General features: G+C 46.7%; 1 protein-coding gene across 2 annotated transcripts in view; it reads left to right on the plus strand.

Annotated features, from left to right (window-relative positions):
* The window catches only part of ZNF664-RFLNA (ZNF664-RFLNA readthrough), a 342,810-nt gene that overhangs the window by 42,252 nt on the left and 285,777 nt on the right, over positions 1-14,781 (plus strand). The gene's annotated exons all lie outside the window — the stretch shown is intronic.

Below are 14,781 nucleotides of genomic sequence, written 5' to 3' on the forward strand. Positions count from 1 at the left end.
TGTGTGGGAGTATGGGTATGGGTGTGTGGTGGAGAATTGGCTTGCACATTAAGCCCAGGGTGACCATGTAATTTATTGTCCAAACTGAGCACTTGAGAGTGAAGGGAGGGGGTGCTGTTGATACTCACATCTGGACAACAAGCCTCGAATGGGCCTTTCTCGGGCACACTAAGGTGTGAGGACACCTTGGTCTGAGGTCACAGCCACACAGGTAATAAATGACTCAAGTCAGGAATAATCCATCTGGAGAGAGCACAGTCCACTGAGAGGACTGCCTCAGCTCGGCTGTGGCTCTGTGTTCACGGCGAATACAGGCCCACAGCTCTTCTAAGAAAACACCAACCTCGATTTTCACACACAGTTTAATCTTAAAATGTTGGCAGCTAATTCCTTTTCCTTGGGTGATCCATTTTGGTGCTTTCTGTGATCTTCCTGGTGCCCCTTGGCAGTTCCTCCAAGCCCTGCCCTGGCCCCTGCTGACTGCAGCCCATGCCTGGGAAGGCGTGAAGTGCTGTCAGCTGAAGCAGAGGGGGCCCACGTTCTGTGCCGCAGTCAACAGTCTGACTGGCTGTGGCGTCTACCAGCTTTGAGAGACAAGTCTGCATTGCAATTCCACCATTGGGATGGGAGCAACCCAAACTAGCCCTTCTGATGGGGGTGGGGGGTGGGGGCAAGGGTAGGTCATCTGTGATGGGATTCACTCTTGGTGAATCTGCTAGGATTTAGAGTGTGAGCCAAGATAAGTCCAGAATGACTGCATGGTTTCTAACTTGGAAGCATGAATAAACGGCAGATTGCCTCTTGCAGATAGGAAGAACTCTTTGCATCAGAGTCCAACATTGAGATAGTCTACTGCGTGAGAATGTGGGCACAGCTCGTCAGGCCATCTCAGAAATTGAAGAGGGATTACTTTGTGTTGTGTGAGCATGGACATGATTCCTTCCAAGGGACCTTCTAGCTCTTGGCTCTGTTCTTAAAATTTTTGAATTATTTCTCAGTCTTTGTAATGTACTGATATTCTCAGAAATTTGAAAAACTAGGTGAATGGAAAGCAAATATCAGAAGCAGATGGAAAATATACTCAGTGGTAAAATCTAGGAAAAGATGAGAAAGGTTGATACTACTACAGGGCAAGAGCCATATATAAATAGCAAAGCTGAGTTAAGATCTATGGATTAGAGAGGAAGAGAGGAAAAATGAAGATGATAGAGCACTTCCTCTAACCATATTCATTTTCTTAATTTTTCTAAACCTCAAGTTTCTCATCTTTAAAATGGTTTTGAAAATATCTAATTCATGGAAATGTTGGGAGAAGTAAATAAACGTAAAGTGCCTAGCATTTAGTGCTATAACGAATTCCTATTCCCAGTTGCCTATTAAGGAAGAAAGGTCATGTTATTTGGATTCCTTTTTGTTTTGCTGAGCTCTGTGGTGGGTTTGGACATCTAAAATTGGGGTAGGACCTGGAGAGGGCTGAATTGCTCCACATGGTAAGAGAGAGAACTTGAATCTCCTGGGGTAGTTGGAGGTAAGAAAACAAAGGGTAGACTTGGAGTGGGAGAGAGGACCAGGGAACCAGTGGAGTAGGATGGTCTGAAGTTCTGAGCTCTTGTGTAGGAAAACTTCGTGACCACAAAGTCTTTCCCTAAAGTTAGGGGTGTTTGGCATGGTGGATTTCTTATGGAAACTGGTGGAAGGGCTGAGTGCTGTATCCAGGGTGAAATGGGGCAACACGTAAGTACCACACATAAATATAGGAGCCAGAAGAGGGTGCCCCTGAGAACAAGCTCCAAGGAATATGCAGAATATGCAGAAATCTTCAGGGTAGCTAAAAGCTGCTACAGGCCATGGAATTAATGGAGTTTTGAGTCAAGTTTACCCAAACCCCTAAGGGGCAGGGAGGCCTGGGATATCTTTATTTCCACTCTCAATGTACATGAAGTAGAATAACTTTATAATCATAAGTAAGTTGAAACTTAAGAATTTTTTTTATCATTCTCATTTTAACATATTACAAAACACATGAACAAATCCAGAGATCCCAAGGCTGTGTGTGTGTTTATGCCAGTAAGAACTTGTCATAAATATCGGTGGAAAATGACACTTTATACCAAAGCAATTTTATTGCTCAGATTTAGGCATATGTAAATAAACTGCATTTCTAGAGTAAAGTAGCACATACAGATTTTGTGTATTTTTAGGCGGATGTATGCATTTTATAGACTCTGTACCTTCCTAAATACTGTGTCTAAATATGGCTTCGCTGAGAGACCGACTTTCCCTCCCCCTCTTAATTCTTTGCTGGCCCTGATCCAGGTCTTCTCTGCATCATGAATTATGGTGGGGGTGTTGTATTTACAGAATTTTAAAACCTAAGACCTGCAGACGGCTTTTGGGGAGGTCTAGAACCTTTTTAAGTTATGTGCAGAATTTTGTGTACCTGTAGGTCTATGCATTTTTCTAGGAAAGGGGGCTTTCCTTATGTTTGTGACTCTAAGAGATAAAGAACACTGGCTGGCATATGGTTACTCGTTGTTTGGGGATCTTGGGAGGCAAAAGGGGTGCCTAAGAGTTCCAGTTAGTGGAATGGATAGGAAATGATGGGTATAATAAACGGAGGAAAAAACACAACGCTGTGTTGTGAGGAAAGAGGGAAAAGGACGTTGGCATAAAATGGAAGGATACATGTGCATGTGTTGTTATGCTGGGCCCAGGAGGTAGGCTGTGTGGCAGTTTCGATGTCATACGCTTAAGACAACAGTTCTGCGAACAGTGTATTAAAAGAATATAGGTGAGGACAATTGAGTATTCAGAGGGGACTGGCTGGACGTGGACGGAATTGGCTACCTGAATGGAAAACACTAGATCTCAACTGAATCTGTCTTGGTTACAGAGGAGGCAGTTCTTGCTGTAAAATGGGTGAGGGCCCCAGTACTGGTGTGGGTTGTATTTAGGTTCTCAAATAGACCTATTCATATTGCTCAATGCCATGTTCTCTCATGTCTAATTTTTATGTCCTACCTCACTTGCCTGGGATCTCTGACTGTTTAAGTCAGTCCTCTTTAGTCTTCATCCTGTCTGTCCCCAAAATGTCTTTTTTTTTTTTTTTTTTTTTTACCCCTGATACTCTTCCATCCTTGTGTGCCCCCCGCTCCCCTTTCTGAGATAAGGTCAAGACCCACAGGGACTTAGTCTCAAGGGTAAGTCCTGTTTCTACAGTCTGTGGAGGATGACGGGAGAGTCTGGTAGAGCAGCAAGCCCTACTTCCTGGAGCTGTTGTTGCCACATTGTTATAGTTGAAACAGGCAGTGTCTGGAAAGAACTGAATCCTCTGTGTTTTGCTTGCCTCACTTGATCCAGTAAACATTAGGAGAAGAAATTAAAAAAACAGGAAAGGATAAGATGGCAGGAGTAAGTTGAAGCATATTGTTAATCATAGTAAATGTGAACTGGTTAAATTCAGCTACTTAGGGACATTTTCAAGTTGATTTGTAAATGACGTCACAAACGTGTATATGATGGTTATGGGAGACCACCTAAAATAAAGGGGTGACCCAAAAGGCTGACAGTGAAGGGGTTGAAAAAGATCAGGAAATGCTAAAAGAAAGCAACTGGTGGTAGTATTGTCAGTCCGTTTATGAAAGGAATAATTTGTCAAGAAGATAGTTATATACTTTCATTAGCTCACAACATAGCTTTGAAAGATAGAACATGGTAAGAAATTAAGCAATTCCCAGTCACAGCAAGATATGTTAACCCTCACCCATCAGAATTTGAAAATCAACTAGACAAAGAAGGATCTGGCTATTTAACTAACACTGTTACCAAACTTGATGTGTCCACTGTGTGTGAACTTTGTGCAGCAGATCCTCTTGGAATGGTCATAGAAATTAGCCATGCTTTGTGCCAGAAAGGAAATCTCACCAGATTCCAAAATGTAGAAATCTCACAGGTCATATTCTCTGACTATAATGTAATAAAAAATTGAAGTCACTGAGAAAGAGCCAAAAGTCCTGTCCATTTCATCCCAAGTTACAAATAAAGAGGAAATCAAGTGTAGTAGAGATGAGTGGCAGAGATGGCACTGTGGGGCACGTCTTGTGGATGGGGCCGAAATGAAAAACTTTCATAGCCTTCAATTCATTTATGAGATAAGGAATATGAAACTAAGCAGTCAAACAAGCTGGAAAAAATACTGCAGGATTTTTAAATTTTACCAAATGACTTTTGGGCCTTCACCAAGATCATCATATGCTCCTGTTCCTTTCATTTGTTAATGTACTGAGTCATTTTGAAATATAAGGATAACATCTTTTATGGTCATAAAGTATTACATCCTTCCACCTTTGGTGGATTTTTGAAAATTTGCATGTGTGTAACCTTAAGAGAGAGTCTTTAGTTATGAATTGATTTAATCAGGGATTTAAAAGCTTTCTATCCTCCTTATTCTGGAATAAATTAAATAGCACAGGTTAATAACTGTGCCCCTGGACTGTATGGGCAGTATTCATACAAGAAAAAGTAATAAAATCTGTGTCCCACTTCACTTGCCTGGAGCATAAATTAAGGTAACATCTCATATTGTTTAAATCAACCATCTGATCCTTGAAAGTGATAGAACTCATCCAAAATGGCTCAGATCCTTGAGGGTGGAGCTTAGAAGCTTTGACAGTGTTTTTACTCTTTTCAAAACTAATAGGTCAATTTAGATCTTTCCCCCTTATTTTTGATAATTTATAGTTTTCTAGGAAAAAACCTCCCTTTTTTGGGGACCTTCAAATATATTTTAGAGATGTGTATAACTCTAAATTCTTAAATCTCATTGGCATTTTGATAAAATCTTACATCTCCCATCGTATGTTTATATTTTCCATTTTTTTCTTTATTGGACTTGCCACCCTCTCTACTTCCACTCCCCCGAAGAACCAGACATTGGCTTTGGTGATCACTTCTGCTGGGGTATTTTCCTGTCATATTTATTACTTTCTTTTATTATCACTAATCATATCCTCTTCCCTTCCTTAATTTAGCTTATTATCTTTTTTCTGAAACTTTTTTTTTTAGTTGCTAGAATCCCATGAATTAATCCCAATAGGCTTTATTTTCAGTGATCTAGTTCCGGGTCAGCAAACTATGGCCCTGGGCCAAATCTAGCTCATCTCCTGTTTTTGTATAGCCTCCAAGCTAAAAATGTGTATGTTTCTAAATGGTTTTTAACACATTGATATTTTCTGAATACGAAAACTTAATGAAATTCACATTGTGTCCATAAATACAGTTTTATGGGAACAAAACCATGTTGATCCATTCTTGGCTTGTCTGTGGCTGCTTTGATGCTGCAACAGCAGAATTGCAGAGTTGCAACAGAGATTGAATGGCCCCCAGAGCCTAAAATATTCTTTCTCTGGCTTTTTACCAAAAAAATTTCCCCATCTCTGGTCTAAGTCACTTGTACCAACTGGCTGGAAGTTTCCAGAGAAGGAAAGGAGGGAGGCTGGTGCTTCTAGACAAAGTGCAAAGAAGGATTTACTGAGATTGGGAAGAGAGGTAGGCTCCATGAATGCTGGGGACTGAGCCCCTTATATGAGATGCTTCAGAAGTGAGAGAGCCAGGATGGGTCCTGGCTGCTGAGGACTCAGTGCTGTGCCCCTGGGAACAAATAGCCACATGCAAGCCTGATCTGGAGGAAGGAGGGCCCTCCTGGCTGGCCGCTAGCATCTGTGTAGATGACACTGGCTTCCACACGGGCTGCTGAGCACCACCAGCACAGGGCAGGGCAGAGGCCTCTCTCCTAGACAGTCTTGTTACCACCCAGGAAGCACATTCTGTGAGAGCAGACTTGGGCGGGATTTGATTCCATTTAGACAAATAAATGAGACTTTTTATGCATTAAAGGTTGTAAATAGATGGATACCATTAAACTTCATTGTATTATTCAGATTCTTTGTATTGCATTTACTATTTTCTTACTTGATCTTGAAAGCGTTTAAGGGAACTCTCTTCCACTATGCTTCTGGTTTAATTTTCTCTGTATTTCTAATTCTGTGCAGTTCACTTTATAAATATCCATGATTTTGTTTCAGTTAGGTTTTTTTTTTTTTTTTTTTTTTTTTTGAGATGGAGTCTCGCTCTTTTGCCCAGGCCAGACGGTAGTGGTGCTATCTCGGCTCACTGCAACCTCCGTCTCCAGGGTTCACGCCATTCTCCAGCCTCAGCCTCCTGAGTAGCTGGGACTACAGGCACCCGCCACCGCGCCTGGCTAATTTTTTGTATTTTTAGTAGAGATGGGGTTTCACCATGTTAGCCAGGATGGTCTCGATCTCCTGACCTTGTGATCCACCCCCCTCGGCCTCCCAGAGTGCTGGGATTACAGGCGTGAGCCACCACACCCGGCCTCAGTTGGGCTTTTTATGTGTGTAAAATACCAGGTTCATCCTGTTCAATGGTGTTTGCTTGAGTTCTACATTGATATACCTACCTTCACTCCTAATTTTGTTGGGTTTGACTAAGATATGTTTATCTCTTAAAATTATCTTTTAGTAATTTTGTATTTGGGGAAAAGTATGCGCACATCAGACAATTCAGAGAATAGTCTAGCCTGACTCTCATTCTTGATTTCCAGATCCCCTGCCCCAGAGCAGCCACTTTCCAGTGTGGCTTTCCTGAGATAGTTCCTGTATACACAAATGGAGGTGTGCACACACATCCTGCTGTTTCCCGAGAACATGATTGCATTCTGTGCTTGTGCTGTAGCAATGTCAATTTTCAGTGAGCAGTGCTCCTAGTGACTGTTAGCTACCAGTGCTTGCATTTTTTTTTTGATGGCTCCATTACTTCCCGCCATATGGAAGGCCTCAGTATGTATCACTAGGCCTCTGTTGATGGAAGTTCCCCTGTATTTTCTTCTACTACTTTTAGGCTTTTGTTTTTTACATTTACATCTTTGATCCATCCACAATCTTTTTATTTTTTTCTGTAAGGAATATGGTAGACTCAAATTTTTAAAATTTCCCTGGCTGGTTAGTTATTCTATGACTACTTACTAAATCTTTTCTCCACGGATTTGAAATGCCAACTATATTACAAGTCAAATTCTTATTTGGATCTATTTCTGTTCCAGCCAAATCCCAACTTTTAATTACTGGGGGTTTTTTTTTTTTTTTTTTTTTTTTTTTTTTTTTGAGACAGAGTCTTGCTCTGTTGCCCAGACTGGAGTGCAGTGGTGCCTCCTGAGTTCAAACCATTCTCCTGCCTCAGCCTCCCGAGTAGCTGGGAGTACAGGCGCCCGCCCCAACGCCCGGCTAATTTTTTGTGTTTTTAATAGAGACAAGGTTTCACCATGTTAGCCAGGATGGTCTTGATCTGACCTCGTGATCTGTCCGCCTCAGTGTCCCAAAGTGCTGGGATTACAGGTGTGAGGCACCGCGCCTGGCCAGTTACTGGGCTTTTATTCTTTAATATTTGCACAGCCATGCCCTTTATTACTTTTTTTCCCCAGATTTCCCCCATTTATTCTGAAATGTTTGATCCTTTCCCTTTAAACTCGATTGTATTTTGTCTTAGCTATGTGTTTTGTAAACAACACAGGATAAATTTTTTTGACTGAATGTTAATTCCTCTTTTTAATAAGGACACTCAACACATTATCCTTTTTTGGTGATACGTACTAATTTTTTTTTTTTTGAGACGGAGCTTTGCTCTTGTTGCCCAGGCTGGAGTGCAATGGCGTTATCTTGGCTCGCTGCAACCTCCGCCTCCCAGGTTCAAGCCATTCTCCTGCTTCAGCCTCCTGCGTAGCTGGGATTACAGGTGTGCGCCACCACGCCCAGCTAATTTTTGTGTTTTTAGTAGAGACGGGGTTTCACCATGTTGGCCAGACTGGTCGCAAATTCCTGACCTCAGGTGATCCACCCACCTCGGCCTCCCAAATTCCTCGGCTGGGATTATAGATGTGAGCCACCACGCCTGGCCAATATATACTAATAATCGAATGAGTTATACTATTGCCAGTTGAAAATACCAAAAATAAAGTATGTTTGTGTTTTTATAATTTAAGTAAAATAAGTACAAACCTCAATTCCTCAGGGATTGGTACACCTTATTTTGGAGGAGGGGACAAGGTGTTTCCATTTCTTAGAGTCACCGCTGGTCCATACATCCCGCTGTTTCTGAGTTCTGACTCGGCTTTGCATCTTGACTCTCATGACTCTGCCGCCCTGTGTGTTACTCCATAGACACTGTGGACTCAGGCTGTGTATCGGGGGGTGTCCTTTACTGATGGTTTATAGCAACAGGAGGGTTCCGTCTGCATGTAGGAACTGCATGTTGAATGATAGAACTTCTGTTCTTGCAGTCTCTGGCCATTCCTGTCCCTGAGGAGTCCCACAGCTGCCCTCACAGCAGGCCTTAACCTCCCATGATGCTGTTGGGCCTCTCTTTATCTTTTTTGGGGACGGTGGTGACAGGATCTTGCCCTGTCACCCAGGTTGGAGTGCAGTGGTGCTGTCATAGCTCACTGCAGCCTCAGCCTCTGGGTTCAAGCAATCCTCCCGCCTCAGCCTCCCAAGTAGCTGGGACTATAGGCATGTGCCACCACACCCAGCTAATTTTTAAACTTTTTGTAGAGATGGAGGTAGCAGGGGAGGTCTCACTTTTTTGCTCAGTCTGATTTCGAACTCTCGGCCTCCAGCCAGTCTCCTGCCCTGGCCTCCCAAAGTGCTGGGATTACAGGCGTGAGCCACCATACTTGGCTTCCTTCCCCATTCCTGATCTCCTCTCTCCTTCCTAACCTGCCTGCTTACCCTAAATCCCCCAATTCCTGCCGTGTCTTATAGAGAGCAATCTAGCAATGGCCCTTTCTTCTTCATACCATCTTTGGCTGTACCCACTGTGTCCCACGCCGATAACCACACACATTGCAATGTGGTTCTCAACCGTCACAGAACCTGGGAGAGACTCGGAGGCCTGCTAGTGAAGTTTAACCTGCTTTTATCTCCTGACTACATAGATGTAAGTAACAGGATGCATGGCTGAAGAGTCAATGTGTGGTTTTTCCTTTCTTCCTCTTCAGGACAGCTGGAGGCCAGGCTCTGTGGTTGTCCTTAGCTGGGTGCGGCACTGCTAGGCCCTGCAGGCAGTGGGAGGGCCCCGCATCCCTGGGCCCGAGGAGTCACCCTTAGCTGGGGTTGCCAGATAAAATGCAGACTGCCTAGTTAAATTTGAATTTTAGATACATTGAAAAATATTTCTTGTGAATCTGAAATATGCATTTAACTGGCTGTCCTGTTTTTATTGGCTAAGTCTGGCAGCTCTGCCCTCAGGGAGGCTGGCAAGGGGCGCTAGTATTCCAGAAAGGGGTGGTGCAGGACAGTGTGGGCTGGGTGGAGACCCCTCTTGGGCTGGGATGTGGACGTAGAGAGGCCTTTCTTGTTCCTGCAGTAAAGAGAGAAGCTGCATGCCCCTGAGGACATGCTCCCAGGGGGGACAGAAGGGAAGAACATTGCAGGTTCACAAGAATGAATCAGGTCCTGGGTATCTGGGCCTTAGGGAATGGCTGCATGGGCCAGGGCACCAAGCCAGGGCCCCCGGGCCATGTGGCCCGCCCTCCTTGGAACCACAGAGGACACTAGATCAACTTTAGGTCACTGAGCTGTGCAAGGTGGAACCTCTTGTCAGCGGCGCTCCCCCAGTGACAATGGAGCGGAGATAGTGGTGGACCCATGAGACCACCTGCAAGACTCCAGGGAACCCATTTTCTGGAATTTTCCAAGTTGTTTTGGAATAATTCAGAGGGGGAAGAGGTGGCAGCCCTGAGAGGAAGCTAGAGGACCACCTTCCCCATGGCTGCGCAGATGAACGTGGGTTGGAGAGGAGCTGCTCATGCTCGGAGCTCATCTGGATTTACTGATTTACCCCACACATGGTCACCCATCTGCCATGCACCAAGCACCCTTCAAGGGCGGCACGGACGAGAACAAACACAGCCTTGCCTGCGTGGAGGTCACGCTCTGCAGGGTGGAGACCACTCTCATCTGCAGGGCCCCTTTTGTCATGTTGTCACAGGGATGGCGGGGGGCCCACTGCGGGTGTGATATGCTGATGGGCAACTCTGGCTTTTTAAATATTTTAGCTCCGTGGCTGTGCTAAAAGCTATATTCAGTCCCTATTTTTCCTCTTATTTATTTTGATTGATAAAAATTGTATATATTTATGTACAAGGTGATGTTTTGAAGGACATATGCATCGTGGGATCCCCACAGGATTTGACCCTCGTACAGAGCAGAGCAAGCCTCCTTGACAAAGGGAAGGCAGCAGTGAAGGGTCAGAGGTGCTAATGAGGTGGAGAGGAAGGGGAGGCGCTTGACGGGGAGCAGCACACGCAGAGGCCTGGGTTGGAGGGGCTTGCTTGACAGACGGAAGGAAGGACCTTGAGACAGGGCAGGGAAGGAGGCGGAGTGTCGGGGAAGGGAGCTTGGAGAAGCAGGGAAGGGATGGCCCTTCAGGGCCTTGGTTAGGGTTTCAGTCTCATCCAAGGACAGTGGGAGCCCCCAACTCCCCCCAAGTGGTTCCAGTTAGGTGGGGGCAGTGCTGCCCAGTGGAGAGGGGTCTCCACTTTTTGGAGGTGGGAGGGAAGGCACAGAGATAATGAACCAAGGAAAGGGCCGCACAGTAGCTGAGAAGTGAGGAGGCCAGCCCTGGGGGCAGGCGGTGGCAGAGATGGGCAGAGGCATATCTACAGGAAGGAGATTTGGGAGGAACAATCCATAGAACTTGCTGGATTGGATTTGGAGTGCATGTTAGTTTCCTATCGTCACTGTCCCAAATCACCACACATTTTGGAGGCTTAAAGTAAATGTATTCTCTAGTAGTTCTGGGGGTCAGAAGTTTGGAGTAGGTCCAAGGTGTTGGGACTGTGCACCCTCCAGCCGCTTTCAGAGAGCATCTCCTTCCTTGCCTTTTCCAGCTTCCAGAGGCATCCGTGTTCCTTTGTCCCTTGGCCCCAACACTCTGACTTCTGCTTCTGTGGCCACGTCTCCTCCTCTGACTCTAAGCCACCTGCCTCCCTCTTAGGAGGACCCTTATGATGACACAGGGGCCACTCAGATCATCTAGGACCATCTCCCTTCTCAAGGTCCTTCATCACATCCGCAGGGCCCCTTTTGCCATGTTGGTAACATTCCCAGATTCTGGGGATTGGGGCGTGGACACCTTTGGGGACCATGGGTCTGCCCACCACAAGGAGTAAGCAGGAAGGACTCGTCCAGGAAGATTCCCAGTGTCTGGCTCATGCCATGGGATGGTGAGTCGTGCCACTTTTTAAAGGAGGAAGCATCAGGAGAGGACCAGGTTTGAATGACTTTGAGTTGAATTTCTTCCCAACATCGAAGAAGACACTCAAGTCGGCAGAATCTGCAACTGTGGATCTCAAAGGAGAGTCCTGGATGTGTGTGTCATCCGTGAGCAGGCTATATATATACATAGTCTCTCTCTATATAGACAGGAGGTTATTTTAAGGAACTGACTCATGCAGTTGTGGAGGCTGGCAAGTCTAAAATCTGCAGGGCAGGCTGGCAGCCGAGCCCCAGGGAAGGGTGGATGTTGCCACTCCAGCCTGAAGGCTTTCTGAAGGCAGAATCCCCTCTTCCCGGGGAACCTCAGTCTTTTTCTCCCACGGCCTTCACCTGATTAGATGAGACCCACCCATAGCCTGGCAGGTCTTTGGCTTCACTCAGGGGCTACTGACTTCAGTGTTCATCGCATCCCAAAAATACCACAGCAACATCTAGGCAGGTGTTTGACCGAATATCTGAGAACCATGCCAAGCCAAGCTGACACATAAAACTGGCTGTGACACTGCTTATCAGTCGCAGTGAATGACGCCTCCCTGCAGTGAGTGTCCAGGCCCCACACCCAGCAGCCTCCTTCATTTCCCTTTTCCTTTCACATCTGTCAGCAAGCCCTGTCAATTCTGTCCTCAGAATACACCCTGCATCTGTTCCCATCTTCTGAGCTAAAACCCTCTTCCGAGCCACCACCACCTCCTGCTTGCAGGACTGCAGCCATCGTCAGGGCCTCCCTGCTGCCCTGCGGGCCTGTGTCTGCCTCTCCATCTCTTACCTCCATCCACCTGTCTCTGTCACTCTGTTTTTGTATTGTCTCTGTTCATCTGTCTCTCTGTCTCTGCCTCTTTTTATCTCCCTCTCTCTCCCTGTCTGTCTGTGTCCCTGTCTCTTTGTCTTTCTCTGTCTTTGTGTCTGTCTCTTTCTCTCTCTCCACAAGGGCCTGGTCATGGAGGATGGCAGTGGCTGGGGTCTGAGGGAGAAGACGACAAGGACATCACATAGTCATAAGTCTTCCCCTGTCACAGATCCATTAGAGATAGAAGTGCCAAGAAGACGCGGTCCTCGGGGAGGCTGGCATTGACATGGCCAAAGTGACACTGCTCCACCAGAGGCAGCCAAGCCACACGGTGTGGGAGAGCCAGGGACTCCAGGGGAGCCGGGCAGACTTGGGGGTGGCAACTGGGAGCAGCAGCTGAGCCCGAGGGCGTGGCAGCACCCAAGGTGCTGCAGGGTTGGATGCAGAGTGTGGTGAGCCCAGACTCAAAGTCCCTCCACCACATCTAGCTGTGTGACCTTGAGCAAGTGTCTTTACCTCTCTGAGCCTCAGTTTCCTCATCTGTAAAGTATTGTACTGACGAATGACAGTATTTATCTCCGGATGGCTGCGAGGCTGAAGTGAGCTTAAGCAAGTGAAGTCCTCAGCTGGTGTCTGGCACAGAGCAAGGGCTCAGTAGATCTTAGCTGTTATTATTACTATCCCCAGGAAGTGGCAGTGGTCCCAAGTGTTGTGATCTTGCAGAAAGGCTGGCACTGCCCGTCAGAGCTGGCTGTCCCAGTGAAGGTGACAACAGCTGAGCCTGCATCTGGCAGAGGGAGCAGGGTCTGGCAGACCTGGCTGTAGCTGGAAGCGTGGTGGCAGCAGTGGGTTGGCAGCGGTGTGGTGGTCATTTGCCGGCAGGCGAAGCGCTGAGGTCCCAGAGTGCTGCCCAAGAGCCCCGTGTTTGAAGGCACTGGGAGGTGGTCCCTGGTGACTCCAGACCTGCTCAGGTAGATTTTGCAGGGAGCCAGGGCCAAGCAAAAGCAGGAGGGGGAAAAAGCATCTTTTAGTTCCCTTTCTCTGAAAGCAAACAGTCACAAGCTACAAGCCTGGGGCTTGTGAGGATCGCCAACTCTTCTGCGCACCGGTGAGTTCTTGACAATCAGATGAACAGAGGGAAAGAGGCGTGCCCTTGCTAGCCAACTTCCTGGAGCCCTCTCAGCTGGCATCTTGGTGCTTGTACACATTTGAGAGCATCAGCATTTCTTTACAAATGACCCCATCAGCTCGCCAGTCACCTTGCTTTGCTGGAAGTTTGCCTTGGGATTTGGGAGAATTTAGTTGAAACCAGTAACACCCAGCGTGGCCAAATTCCATATGCTCCTTCTGCGTCTGTGTAACAATTTCCTTTCTTTTTTTGAGATGATTCTCACTCTGTTACCCAGGCTGGAGTGCAGTAGCATGATCTCGGCTCACTGCAGCCTCTGCCTCCTCAGTTCAAGTCATTCTCCTGCCTCAGCCTCCCCCAAGCAGCTGGGACCACAGGCGTGTGCCACTACACCCAGCTAATTTTTGTATTATTAGTAGAGACAGGGTTTCACGATATTCAGGCTGGTCTCAAACCCCTGGCCTCAAGTGATCCATCTGCCTCAGCCTCCCAAAGTTCTGGGATTACATGCGTGAGCCACCACACTCAGCCTCTATGTAACAGTTTCTTTGAAATTTGTCGGAAGCAGGTTACCAGGGAGAAATAATATTTTTAATTATTCTTTCATTTATTTATTGTTTGTACATTTTCTGTGTGTGCATTCATCTGCAGGTTGTATCTTGGAATAGACCCCGCAGAGACGTGCAAGTAATGACTTCACATTAACGTGTCACTGGCCTGCCCTTGATGTGTTGGGGGGCCGGGCAAGAGTACAAATGGAGACCCACCTTTAAAAGTCATAAATCAAGGCAGGCATGGTGGCTCATGCCTGCCATCTCAGCATTTTGGGAGGCCAAGGCAGGAAGATCGCTTGAGGCCAGGAGTTGGAGACCAGACTGGGGAACATAGTGAGACCCCATCTCTACAAAATTAAAAATTAGCCGAGCATGGTGGCACACACCTGTAGTCCCAGCTACTTGGGAGGCTGAGGCAGGAGGATCTCTTGAGCCCAGGGGTTCAAGGCTGCAGTGAGCTATGATTGCGCCACCACACTCTAGCCTAGGTGACAGAGTGAGACCCTGTCTCTTTTTTTTAAAAAAAGTTATAAATCAAGTTAGCAAAGCAAATCAAGTTAACAAAGCGGTTCTGACAATGAACTCTTCAGAACCACCTGGAAGGCCAAGCTTTGGCCTTTGGGATGCGGGGACTCCTGAGCTCCCCCTGGGTTGTGGTGGGCAGTAGGGGCTGGCATGTGTCCCACCTGCCTGTGTCCCTTTTTGCTCCACATCCCTTCCTGCCCCACCCGAGTCCTCCTGGAGTCCACACGTGTGGACACCCAGCCCATGATTCGAGCTCTGGCCATCCCTCCACACCACCCCATAGCTGCCCCCTTGCAGGCCCATGGGCAGGGCCGTGGGTACCAGCAGCCTGCTCTTCGGAGGCTGCATCTGAAGAACGGGTTTGTGCAGGCTCTGAAGGAACGCCTGCGCTGTTTCAGAAGGAACCTCCAGTGCCAGGAAATTTGGAGCCTGATA

Source organism: Homo sapiens, chromosome 12 (assembly GCF_000001405.40).
Source record: "Homo sapiens chromosome 12, GRCh38.p14 Primary Assembly".
Lineage (NCBI taxonomy): Eukaryota > Metazoa > Chordata > Mammalia > Primates > Hominidae > Homo > Homo sapiens.